The sequence below is a fragment of the Homo sapiens genome, chromosome 1 (assembly GCF_000001405.40).
Source record: "Homo sapiens chromosome 1, GRCh38.p14 Primary Assembly".
Lineage (NCBI taxonomy): Eukaryota > Metazoa > Chordata > Mammalia > Primates > Hominidae > Homo > Homo sapiens.
The window spans coordinates 73,724,560-73,738,873 of record NC_000001.11 but is presented as its reverse complement, the minus strand read 5'-3'; the positions used below and the strand labels follow the sequence as shown (position 1 = coordinate 73,738,873).

General features: G+C 34.8%; 1 long non-coding RNA gene across 1 annotated transcript in view; it reads right to left on the bottom strand.

Moving 5' to 3' along the window:
- Positions 1 to 231: 231 nt before the first annotated feature.
- The window catches only part of LINC02238 (long intergenic non-protein coding RNA 2238), a 63,964-nt gene continuing 49,881 nt past the window's right edge, over positions 232 to 14,314 (bottom strand). Inside the window, exon 4 of the long non-coding RNA NR_146300.1 lies at positions 232 to 3,113. This is a non-coding gene — a long non-coding RNA (long intergenic non-protein coding RNA 2238). The remainder of the gene's footprint in view (positions 3,114 to 14,314) is intronic.

Below are 14,314 nucleotides of genomic sequence, written 5' to 3'. Positions count from 1 at the left end.
GAAGATTTGAACAATACTATTAACATATTTGGAACAATTTGCATTTATAGAATACTACATTTAATGTCAGAATTCATATTGTTTTAATTGCACTTGAAAATATATATGCCAAAAGCATAAATCTCAATCTCAATATATTTCACAATATTGAAACCACACAGGATATACTTTCTCACCACAATGTAATCAAAGAGAAATAAAAATCTCCAAAATTAGGTCATAAGCAAATATTTATTTTAATAAGTAGAGAAACAAAATTTGACAAACAAAACCTATCCATAATAAAACTCTCATCAACATCAAAACAAACCCAAAGAGCCTATTAAGAAAGTGAAAGCACATGCTACAGATTGGGAGAAAATTACTTGCAATACATATATCCAAAAAGGGACTAATATCAGAATAAAAACAATCTACACAAATCAATAAATAAAATCAGACACTCTAATTAAACATGAGAGAAAACTATCATGAAAAGTACACTTCACAATCAAGATATGCTAACCATAGGGTGCTAACCATAGAGAGATGCTCAGCATCATTAATTCTCAGGAAAATGGATAAAAATGAGAAGAATGACAATATGGCATAATGAGGAGGAGGCAGAGCAACTGGAACCTTCATACATTGTTGGCAGGACTGCAAAATGCTAAACCCTTTGAATAATTTCCAATATAGTTAACACTCTAGGTCCTAGTATTCCTACTCCTAAGTGTTTACCCACGAGAAAGACATTCAGTTAAAGACTTGTGAACAAGAACGTTGGTAGCCCCCAAATGTTTATCAACAGTACAAAAGATGAGCAAACTCTGTACATTTATACAATGGAATACTATCGGCAATAAAAGAAAATGAGCGACTAATGTAATCATACCTATCCCTCACATTCTACGTAAAGCTAAAGAAGCTAGACAGCAGAAAGTATATACTCTATGAACACATGTACAGAATGTTCAAGAACATAAATAACTAATCTGTGGTGATAGAAATTATAGTATTGGTTGCCTGGCTGGGGGGAATTGAGTCAAAAGAGGCACAAGAAACTTTCTGGGATGAGAGGCAAGTTCTTAAACTTGATCTGGCTCACGGTTACACAGGACTATTCATTTGTCAATATTCATTGAGCTGTATACTTAAAGTTTGTGTACTTTATTGAATGTGAAAAAGCCAAAGTCTTCACAATGACTTACATGGCCTATTGAAGTCTAGCCTCACTCTATTCGTTTGCACCTCATCTAATACTTGCCTGCACATGCAATTGCATCCAAGACACACAACCGTCCATGCTTTTACTAAATGTTAAAGTATGATCTGACCTCGGGCTTTTTACTTTACTACTCTTACTTCCATATTTTTGTTTTTGTTTTTTAATATCTACTGAGATTGGCTTTTATGTCTCCTTCAGGTCTTTGCACAGATACCACTTCTCAGTGAGGACTCCCATGACAACACCACTTAAAATTGCCACATTCCTCATTCTTCACTGTCTTCTTTTGTTTTTTACTCTCCTCCAGAATGCTTATGAAATTCTGCTATTTTGTAAATTGTCTATATATATGTATATATGTATTTTATCTCCCACCAAACTTCATGAGATCAGAGATTTTCATCTGTTTTCTGTTCACTGCTGGTTTTTTTTTCTAGTGCCTAGAATAGTGCCTGGCACATGATTAGGATTTAATTATTACTTCTGAATAAAGGTATTTATGTTTTAGACTTTCTTCTAATGCCTGGGTAAACTTCTATACCTTAAAATGAGTCAGTTGAACACCTTTATTATTCCATATATCAGTGAAAGAGTTGTAGACCTGAAGGCTTGACCTTGTTGTTGGTAGGCAGGGCACTGGAAAATGTGCCCTGTGGCCCTGAGGAGCCAGCATCTGCTGGGCTTTGCTCTGGTGTGCTAGTGCTTGTTCTTCCCAGAGTTTCTAGACAGTGTTTCTTTAAGAAAATAAATAAGTAAATAAATAAATATATGTAAATAAAAAATAAAATAAAAATTTAAAAAACCTTATATTGCTTTTGCTGAGGAGTAAATGCCTCCTTGTTGTATTATGTAGTCACAAGTTGATGACGTTTGGGAAAGTGCCTTTTCACCTGTACTGCCCTGAATCCTCCCAATTCCAGTTCTCTTTCTCTGGCTCTGAAATACTTGAGGTGTCTTGTGTCTGAACCTCTTTACAGTACTGAAGGCAATAGATTTATTTCTTGGCTGCAGCTCCCTTCTTACGTATCCTTGGATAAAGTGTTTTCCCTCAGCTTCTTAAGTCAGAAATTATTTGTATTCTATTTTATAATAATTGTTTGAAACATTACCACTCTCCTTTTTCTTTGTTGTTATTATTTTTTCCCTTACCATTATTTCACTGAAGTCTTAAGTGGAATATCTGATAACCATATGTGCTTAATCCATCATCTTAAACTAGAAATCTTTGCTATATTTTTTTAGTCAGGAACCAGTCCTAGTCTAATCTTTACAACTATGAAATCCAGTCAATAGCTGACATCACTTCCTTTTCCTCTTCTGTCAAAAATTAGAAGACTGATTGCATCATATGTTCAAACTACAGGGGAAAGGAAAAATTCTCGTTTGCAGTGACAGCTCAATGTTTTCAAGAACTAGGCAAACTTATTGTAGAGTACTATAATCAGAGTACTAAACTCCTCATATCTTCAAACCAGCAAAGTACTGATGTCTCGTTTCTTACCTGTTAGTCCAGAGAATGAGAAACCTGGATTTAACATAAATTTGTAATTGTGAATCATTAAGGGATTCTTAGAGATACCAGGAAATCTGTTCAAACAACCTGACTATAATTGTCATTGGATATCCTCACTTTAATTGTATCCTGTTCCGATCAATCAAATTAAATCCTATTTTGTTTGGTGGCAAGAAATGATTTTTGTGTGTGTTTTGAAGAAACATAAAAAAAGAAAAGAAAATCAACCCATAAAATCTAAGGGAGAATATGTTTTACAACAGAAATCTTTCAGTTGGTCAATTGGCTAGGATAGAAGTTTGTTAGGCAATGGATCTGATAACTTTGACAGGACATTTTTCCTGGGAATAGTAGAGATTTCCATCACATCACATGCTGTCATCTGAAGTATACCTGCAAATACAGATGGGCCGTTAATAAACTTCTTTATAGGAAGTTATTGGACTGTTTACATTCTTGATTTAGCTAAAGTACCATTAATTTTGCCACCTTTGACCTCACAATAGGTAAACTTGAATTTGAATCCTGGCTTTATCCCTTATTAGTTTGTGACTATAGACAAGTTACATAAATATATAAAGACTCAATTATATAATGTGTAAAATTATGGAACGTTATATTCAAAAGTACATGGCAAATGTTAAAATGATACAAGGTAGGCAAATCAATTATTTGTTATAAAATACATGTTCTATAAATTATAACATTATTATCATTGCTATTATTTCAATAATTACATCCCACTACATGGATAAAGTTATACTCTTTTTGTGTTAGGTATCCTATTCTTAATCAGAAAAGGTGCTATTTATTCCCCAATTTTTCTTCCAGACCTCTGACTAAGGAAAATTTATACTTAATCTCTTCAAAAGGAACACATCAGTTTCCAGCAGGCTATGACCCTGGGGATACATCTATTTTTCTATACATTGTGATCTCTTTGCCTTTACTTTTCAGGTATCTTTAGAAAGCAACAATCATGTTCATATTGATAGTACGAGTGAATCAACAGAACAAAGCATTTAGCCAAATAGGATAAAAGGCAAGTTAGCAAAATCCCAGTAGAAAAAAAAAATCAAAGCCCCAAAATATCCTGTAATAATTTCTGAGTGACTGACATTCTCTCTCTGCCTGCCCTAAGAAATCTTGGCACGTGTGTACAGTCAGCCTTATAATAGCCAATAGGTAAGTGCAAACTGTGTTTGTACTCTGGGCTGTTCCTATTCACACACTTGTAGCAGACATCTTATAAGATTCTGTTTTCAGAGCATCAGGGAATAAATATGGCCATCATCAAACCCTGGAAGTAAAGTAATACTTTTTTCATAGAATAAAGCAACAGGCTAATTAAAAGAGTCACAGTATTCTATTCACTAATATGAATCCCTGCTTGGACAGAATAGAACTCTCTGAGGGCTCAGTCTCCTAATATTGATCTCAGAATTAAAGAACAAAGAAACAAAAACCATAGTTAACATGAGCAAAATAGTGCATTTATTTAGTTCTACTAAAGAACACCAGAATTTTATAATTTAGAAAACTCATCACAGAAACCCACAAGCCTGAGATGCTTAAAAATCAGAAAGCCTCTTTTTAAACAAATTAATATAGTTTATTTTTGAGTAGTTTTGGGTTTGTAGAAAAATTGAGCAGAAAATACAGAGAGTTCCCATATAGTCCCTCACCCCCCACCTGCTTTCTCCTATTATTAACATCTTACAATTTGTGTGGTATATGTGCTGCAACTAATAAGCAAATATTGATACATCATTACTAACTAAATCCATAGTCTATATTACAGTTAACTCCATATTGTATATTTCATAAATTTTGACAAATGTACGGCATGTATGCACCATTACAATATCATGCAGAGTAGTTTTACTGCCCCAACAACCTCTTGTTTCTCACCAAATCTTTTCTCCCCACTCCATTACTGCTACACTGAACACTTGGATACCACTAATTTTTGTATTGCCTCATTAGTTTTGCCTCTTCCAGAATGTCATATAATTTGATTCATACAGTATGTTGACTTTGTAGATTGATTTCTTTCACCTAGAGATATGCTTTTAAGGTTTGTCCAGGTCTTTTTTACATTAATAGCTGATTTCTTTTAATATCTGAATGTATCATATATCATACAAATGTATTACAATTTGTTTATCCATTCACCTGTTAGAGAATGCATTAATTACTTTCATTTTGGTAATTATTAATAAAGTTTCCATAAACATTTATATACAGGTTTTTGTATGGCTATAAGTTTTCCAACTCAGTTGAGTAAATGTCAAGAAGCATAATTGCTGGACTATATGGTGTATTAGTCTGTTTTCACACTGTTGTAAAGAACTACCTGAGACTAGGTATTTATAAGAAAAAGAGGTTTAATTGACTCACAGTTCTGCATGCTTGGGGAGGCCTCAGGAAACTTATAATCATGGCAGAAGGCAAAGGAGAAGCAAACACCTTCTTCATAAGGCTCCAGAAGAGAAGGTGAGGGGGGAATGCTGCACTTTTAAACCATTATATCTCATGAGAACTCACTATTATGAAAACAGCATAGGAGAAATCCGCCTCCATGATTCAATCATCTCCCACCAAGTCCCTCCCCTGACACGTGGGGATTACAATTCGACATGAAATTTCGGTGGGGACACAGAACCAAATGATATCATATAGTAAGGGTATATTTAGTTTTGTAAGGAACTATGAAACTATCTTTCAAAGTGGCTGTACCATTCTGCATTCCTACCAGTAGTGAATAAGAATTCTTGTTGCTTCACACTCTCCATAATATTTGTTATTGTCAGTGATTTTGATTTTGGCCATTCTAGTAGGTATATAGTGATATTTCATTGTTGTTTAATTTGAAATTCCCTAATGACATTCAATGTTGATTATTTTTTCATATGTGTATTTCTCATTGGTTGATTTCCTTTGGTGAGGTGTCTGTTGAGATGTATTGCCAATTTATTAATGGGGTTGTTTGCCTTCTTATTATTTAGCATTAAACATTCTTTGCAGATTTTGAATACCAGGGTTTTTTAAATGTCAGATATGTGTTTTGCAAATATTTTCTCACAGCTCATGGTTTGTGTTTTCATTCTCCTAACAGTGACTATTACAGAGAAGTTTCTAACTTTAATGATGTTTAATCTATCTTTTTTTCATAGATTTTAATTGTGGTGGTACATCTAAAGTAATCACAAAACCCAAAATGACATAGATTGTCTCTTGTTATTTTATATTATTTATAATGATATTATATAGCATATAATTTAAAACTATGAACAAAGATAGCTTTCTTTCTTTATAATCTGCATGCTTTATTTTATTTTCCTGCCTGATGGCACTAGCTAGAAATTCCAGTACAATGTTGAATACAAGTAGTGAGAATAACAGTCTTTGCCTTGTTTCTGATCTTAGTGAGAGAGTATCTAATTTATCACCATTATATGTGATGTTAGCTGTAGGATTTTTGGTAGATGTTCTTTATCAAGTTGAAGTTCCCCTCTATTTTTATTTTGCTGAGTTCCTACCGTGGATGGCTGATGAATTTTCTCAAATGCTTTTCTGCATCTGTTGATATGATCATATGATTTTTCTTTTTTAGTTTATCGATGTAATGGATTACATTAATTGATTTTTGAATGTTCATCCAGTCTTGCATACCTGAAATAAATCCCACTTGATTGTGGTGTGTAATTATCTTTACAAACTATTGGGGTTGATTTGCTAATATTTTGTTGACAATTGTTATACATATGTTCATGAGAGATATTGGTCTGTAGTTTTTCTTTCTTGAAATATATTTATTTGATTTGGGTATTAAGATAATGCTGGCCACATATAATGAGTTAGGAAGTATTTCTCCAACCTATATTTCCTGGGAGATATTGTAGAGAATTGTATATTTCTTTCTTAAATGTTTGGTAGAATTTACCAGTGAACCCATCTAAGCCTAGTGCTTTCATTTTGGGAAAGTTATTAACTATTGATCCAATGGATATAGACCTGTTTAAATTGTCAGTTTCTCCTGGTATGAGTTTGAGTAGAGGGTGTCTTTCAAGGAACTAGTTCATTTCACCTGGGTTATCAAGTTTACAGGCAAAGAGTTGTTCATGATAGTTCTTTATTATTCTTTTAATGTATTCTTGATACAGATATCATACAGATATTAGTTTAAAAGTTGAATTTTGTCAGGGAGTGGTGGCTCACGCCTGTAATCCTAGCACTTTGGGAAGCCAAGGTGGGCAGATCTCTTAAAATCAGGAGTTTAAAACCAGCCTGGCCAACGTGGTGAAACCCGTCTCTACTAAAAATACAAAAAAATTAGCCAGGCATAGTGGCGGGTGCCTGTAATCCCAGCAACTTGGGAGGCTGAGGCAGGAGTATTGCTTGAACCCGGGAGGTGGAGGTTGCCGTGAGCCAAGATCACACCACTGAACTCCAGCCAGGGTGGCAGAGCAAGACTCCATCACAAATAAATAAATATATAAATAAATGTTGCATTGCAAGCCTGTTCTTTGAGTAAGTGCACAACTTGACTTTGTTCGAAATTCATGTATTGTGAGGTGCACAGAGACTGGGTTACTATTTAAACTGATATTATGGTAAGAGGGGGTTGGTACAGAAAAGGGGTTTGTTTAATTTTTGTAACATGGTAATATTTCATATATTTAAAATAACATTCAATAAAGAAGATTATAAACATAAACTTTAAAGTTAAAAGGCAAACAAAAATATAACTACATTAAATGAGCATAACTAAACTGAAAATAATTGATTCAAGAAAATTTTGAACATGTTGCTCTGGTTGTATATATTGATATACAATATAAAATCAAAAAGAACTACGAGTTTATCTTGAATTTTTCTGAGTAAGTTTTCTTTTGGATATATTGAGCTTCTTGGATATTTATTTCCTTTTACCAATGTGGGGAAGTTTTCAGCCATTAGTATTTCAAATACTTTTGTGCTTTCTTCTCCCTCTTGTATCTTCCTGCTACTTCTAATATACATATTTAAATAACTTGGTAATACCCCACAGCACATTAAGCCTTTTTCTGTTTTTTTTTTTTTTTCAACTTTACTCTCTCTTTTTTTCAGTTGAATTTTTTTATTGCCCTATCTTTAAATTTACTGACTCTTTTTTTTTTTTTTTTTGAGACAGAGTTTCACTCTTGTTGCCCAGGCTGGAGTGCGGTGGCACGATCTTGGCTCACTGCCATCTTTGCCTCCCAGCTTCAAGCGATTCTTCTGCCTCAGCTTCCTGAGTAGCTGGGACTACAGGCACACAGCACTGTGCCACCACATCTGGCTAATTTTTGTATTTTTAGTAGAGACGGGGTTTCACCATGTTGGCCAGGCTTGTCTTGAACTCCTGACCCCAGATGATCTGCCTGCCTTGGCCTCCCAGAGTGCTGGGATTACAGGAATGAGCCACCGCGCCTGGCCTAAATTCACTGACTTTCTTTTGCGATCTCTGGTCTACTCTGAGACCAATCAAGTAAATTTTTTATGTCAGTGATTATCCATTTCAGCTGTAGAGTTTCCATTTGTTTGTTATTTATAGCTTCTACTTCTCTACTGAGATTCCCCATGTGTTTTCTTTTATTATTAATATATTTTATACTTTTTGAAATATTAATATATTCGGCCCTCTATATCCATGGATTCTGCACCTGAGGAGTCAACTAAGTGTGGATCAAAAATATTTGAAAAAATAAAAGTTGGTTGCATCTGTACTGAACACGTGCAGACTTTTTTCTTGTCATTATTCCCTAAACAATAGAGTAGAACAACCGTTTACATTGCATTTGCATTTGTATTAGGTATTATAAGTGGAAATAGTGTGTGCTATTCTCATCAGGTTATATAACAACTTCCTTTTTTTTTTAATCTTCCCAATATTTTCTCAGTTTATGGCTGAAGGCATAGAACTCCAAAAACCTAAAATTGAATGTAGCTACAAGAGTGAAAGTATCCTGAGGAGAATTCAAGCAGGAGGCTTTTTGTCAATCAGAAGCACCCACAATGGAATATTATGTAAATAAGAATTAAACTCTTAGTGAATTAAGCAGTATAAATTATAGGATTCCTTTCTGTTAGCAGCTAGGATTACCCTGATACTTGAATTAATACACATATATTAATTCTGGATAAAATATAAGTAAACGAAAAAGCCAAGAAAGAGGAAAAATTAAGATTATAAAGCAGGGAGTCTTTTCAAAGAGGACAGTAAGGGAAAACACAGTTGTACGGAAGAGTTTAATGGATATGTACTTTTTGTTTTCTTCAAATAGTAATAAAAATTATAAATAGTTTTATATATTTTTCTCCACTCAACCATGGAGAAATCTCCAAGGATTCACAAAGTTATTGCCACAAAGAAGATACTCAGCAACACTTTGTTAAATGAATCAATAAATGAAAGATTTTACTAAATCATGGTTATTTTATATCTTTGGTATTTCTTGAACCTAAACCCTCCCTTCTTCATACTATCACTCACTTTTTTCCAATTTAGTACTAATAATTCTGACATGGAATTCTGAATAGTATTCCGGAATTCTGAATAGGGCTTTCACCTCCAGCTTCTTCTCCTTTTATCTAGCACCCATTTACTTCCAGAGTGATATTTCTAAGATCAATAGACATAATGCAACTCTCCGGCTTAAAATTCTTCAGTGGCTTATCATTGTCTATGACTCCAAGTCCAAGTTCGTAATCATGTCATGTTAGGTTATTTTTCTTTCCTACCCATCCCTACTTCTCTCATGTCCTCACACTATATGCTCTTGGCATAGAAAACTGTCTTCAAATATCTGAATATACCATACTTTCTTGTTACTGACATATACAGCCTATGTTTCTTTACTTTGCCCTTAAAGTGTCTCTTTATATGTCACTTGTATTGGGATGTGCCCCTGACATACATGGCTCACAGAGCTTGGAGATGCAGTTGCATGCATAAATAAAAAAAATTAAAACCAGCGTTTGTTAAGTTTGCCCAATTACAAGAGTTTATAAAGCAAATCAGATCTTCTTATTGCAAATCTTCTCATTTTACAATAAAAAGAAAACAAACTGTCATATAAAATCTTGGGTTCTTTACAGTTGATTTTTGTGACTTTGTGCAAGTATTTCTAAATTAATCTAAATCTCAGTTTCCTGTCCTGCAAAATAAAATGTATATCACACCAGCATTATAAAGTTATTATAAGATGAGATGATATTATTATTCAAAAACGTTTGTTCCCGCTCCAAGGGGAAAGAAATATATTATAGCAGAAATACCTTCCACATAAATTTTTATAAATTTTAAAAGTTTTTAAAACTCTTACTTGAATTTTATTAGAAGGACAAATTTGACTAATATTTATCGAGCCCCAGCCTTATGCCAAGAAATAGGTTGATCAAATTTAATCATTACAGCAGTATTTTGAAAAAAAATTGTCACCATTTCCACCATTGTAGAAGTTGTAATACAGTACCCAGAATCTTCACATCTTCTGGGAATGCTGTCCAGAAATATACCCTGCAGCTCCCAGCCCCTGTAGAGCATTGCCCCAGCTGAAGAGAGCTGCTTCACCCAAGCTCACTAGCCCTTCACTGTTCAAAATGAATGGCTAGTTAATTTAATGTTATAAAGACCTATATCTCTCCACCCAACTCCATATAACTCTGAAGCATCACCTTATCTTCAGAGACCACTGCAGGGTCACTTAAGGTTCTGTTGCATCACAGTTTAACTTCTTTTTCTTTCCATTTGTGTTTCTTTCCCTTCTTTTCATAAATAACGATGCAAAAATCACTCATTAATAAACTTCCTGCATGGTTTTATCAGTCTTGGAGTCTGTTTCTCTCCAACAGTCATGACTCAGATGGGAAGAGCAAAAACATCCTAGGGGCTACAGAGATGTTTCACGTAGCCTCAAAAACCAAGACATTCTGGTGGCGTCCTTTTATTCTGCCCTTTTTATTGATAGCTCCACATAGAGTCCAATTTACTACACTAAAGTAATTGACAAAATGTGAGTATATCATGTAAATAACCATTTAGAAATGTATACCTCTTTGAATGTAAGCATGTGCACATTGTGATTTCTGACACATGCTCACTCTTGTGTATTCTTCTTTACAAGTTGAAAGGTTGGAAACTGTCTGCCCCTCAAATCAGGACACAATCCATCAAAGAGCAGTATTGTTTAACTCCTTTAGGACTAGGACAGAGTGCATAGAAACAGGACTGGAAGACAAACTACAAGTTATATGTAAAGGTATACTCAACCCCATCTGTTTTGTCCTTAGAACATCATTGACTCTCCTAATATGGGGGGGTTACTTTTTCTGTTTCTTAGTTTCTGCCATTGTTCCATACCTATGACCATCTAGACACAACAACTTGCTTGAATTTCTTAATATACCTATATCATATTTATTATAACATCCCTTTGGTCATTTGCTTCATATTCCCATCCCTGCTAGCTAATATTTAGTAAGACATCTCCAATGAAAGGCCAATACATACATATTTACTGTGTATTTGAACAAATTATATGGTGATAAAACATCACTCAATAAAGGTATTCAAAGGATCAGACTAAGTTAAATGCAGATAGGTGTGTATCATGAGGGACACAGGGCCATTTTTCTCTGCTACTATAATGTAATAAATGATAGAAAAATCATCCAGCCAGAGGCCCTCTTTATTCCCCATAAAAACATTCCTAAATTGTCCTTTAACCAGAACTAATGTATATAATAAAAAATGCAGTGGCAATGAACTTGGCAACTGTGTCTTAATGAATATGTGCTGGGGAAAAATATGCTTAATTGACAGCCTTGGAAACATAAGCACCATTGCTCCAGGAACAGATACAGCATAAAATGTTCCTGTACAAGCTTCTCTTATTGTGTCCCTCTGGACAGGCTGGTTTTGACATATGAAAAGGCAATTAAATCTGTTTAGCTTGTGCATGGCTGAAAACAAGGCAAGTGCAGAGTCCCCATAAAAACAGGCATTAGGTTTATTTTGTTTCATTTTATTTTTTCAAACAGTTTTTTTCCTCTTGGCAATAGAATCTTTGAACTGAGATATTGGTTTTCCTAAAGGTGTCACTCAACCGGAGAATGTTTTTCAGGCTTGCAAGAAAATTTAAAGTGCACTTGTTGATGGAATAAGTAAGAATATAGGGCAAGTGGTCTCACCTATTTAAATTGGCATAATAGTCTTAGCTTCAAAAATCATAACCACTCTATTCCCTCTCACAGGTTCTTTTGACAAGTAATCTGGTTTATAATCCAGACAAGCAGATTGCTGCTAGAGTTCAGCTTGAGTCTTTATTTCTTTAGGAGCTGGAAATCAAGCCAAGGGAGTATATGTTAAATGGAAGAATTATTTAGCACACTGACCAGTAAGAGGGTTTGGGAAGTTATTATAAAGGAAACATTGAAACTCAGTTCAGTGCACAGTAGTAGTCAAGGAAGGTAAAGATGATAGGTTATGTTAGTAACAAGAGAGAAAGGAACAATCCGATATAATTCCTTTTTACTACAGCTAATTCCTATTTTCCATAGTAAACTCAGAAATCTGTGGTTTCTGTATTGCAGACAAAAATTATTACCATGTGGTGGACAGGTAATAAGACATCTATGGCCAAAATAACTTATAAGGTTCTGAGAGCAAAGAAATAGGTTTTCCTAACAGAAAAGAGTCAATTAGAAAAGGAGAGGAATAATAATAATAGCGAAGATTATGTGTTGTGTCCATGCACCAGAAAATACATCAGCACATGGCATGGTAAAATACATTGATAAGTTTAATAATTGCTACACCAAAAAAGGGTAAACATTATATTTCCATTTTGAAGATGAGAAAATCAGCTCAAAGAGATTAAGTTGCTTGACGGGGTCAAGGAGTTAGTCAATGGAGGAGCTGAATCCAAAACTACTGTTGCACTCCAAAGTCTCTGCTGTTTAATGATACTCCAGTAATAGTTTTCTCACTACTTTTCATTAGCATATTTTTGAGATTTTTTCAATAAACATTAACTTGTAAAGTTTTTTTGCGGGGGTGGGGTGGGGGGACATAGTCTTGCTCTGTCGCCCAGGCTGGAGTGCAGTGGTGCGATCTTGGCTCACTGCAACCTCTGCCTCCTGGGTTCAAGCAATTCTCCTGCCTCAGCCTCCCAAGTAGCTGGGACTACAGGCGCCCGCCACTACACCCGGCTAAATTTTGTATTTTTAGTACAGACGGGGTTTCACCATATCGGACAGGCTGGTCTTGAACTCCTAACCTTGCCTGCCTCGGACTCCCAAAGTTCTGCCTTGGCCTCCCAAAGTGCTGGGATTACAGACAGAAGCCTGCTTTGGCCTCCCAAAGTACTGGGATTACAGACATGAGCCACTGCGCCCGGTCGACTTGTAAATTTCATACATCATATGCATGGAAAAATTAAGTAGATATAGATATAGATGTGATGAAATGTGAGTGACATGGAAAGACATTATTTTAATTGTCGTGAGAACTGTGCTCTTCTGTGCTTAAAGAAATGGCTGACTTCAGATTTGGAAATATGCAAGATGAGCCTGGACATCTGAACATACCACGGAGTAAAATATTTTCAAAGATTCTTGAGCCCTATCAAGAGGATTCAGGAGTCAGTTTGAAGAGATCCTACTGAAAATATAAGGGAAAACTTCGCATTAACAAAAATTAATAACTGTAATGAGTTGAAATGAATAAAGCATATTTAAATCCATGAGTATATAAAGATAATAATATTAACAAAAGAAACCTGGCCTATCACCATTGGAAGATTCTGCTGAAATTGGTTATTATTATGAAAAGCAGCCATAAGGTGAAATAATTTAGCTTTTATCCTCTTCTTTCTATACACTTTCCACCCCTGAGTAGTCCAATAGTAGTTGTGAGAAAATTCTATTTAGAGAAATACCCCAGCTAATAAATGAAAGAAGGAATAATAGAATTAGAATAGCAGTTTTTCAACCTTTAATGGATTAAAGTACCCAAACATTGAGTATCAATCACTTTTAGCATTATATAAAGAAAGACATTCAGACATCATGTACCTTCTATTGGAGGGACACAAAACCTTGTGATGTCATCTGTATTAGTCAGAGTTCTCCAGATAAACAGAGCCAATAGAATATATATACATATGTGTGTGTGTGTGTGTGTGTATATATATATTCCATATATTATATATGGGATTAGCTCACATGGCCATGTAAACTGAGAAGTTCCACTACATGCTCTATGAAAGCTGGAGAACAAGAAAATGCAGTGATGCAAGTAAGTCCAAGTCCTGTGGTTTTAGAACCAGGAATGCTCATATATAAAGCCAGGAGAAGATGTCTTTATTCAAACAGAAGGTAATTTGCTTTTGTTCTCCCAACTTTTTATTCTCTTTGGGCTCCTAGTGGATTGGATAGAGCCCATCCACATTGGGGAGGGTGATCTTCTTCACTCAGTCTGAAAATTCAAATGCTAAGCTTTTTCAGAAACACCTTCAGAGACACATCCAGAAATAATGTTTTATGAGCTCTCGGGGCATCCCTTAGCC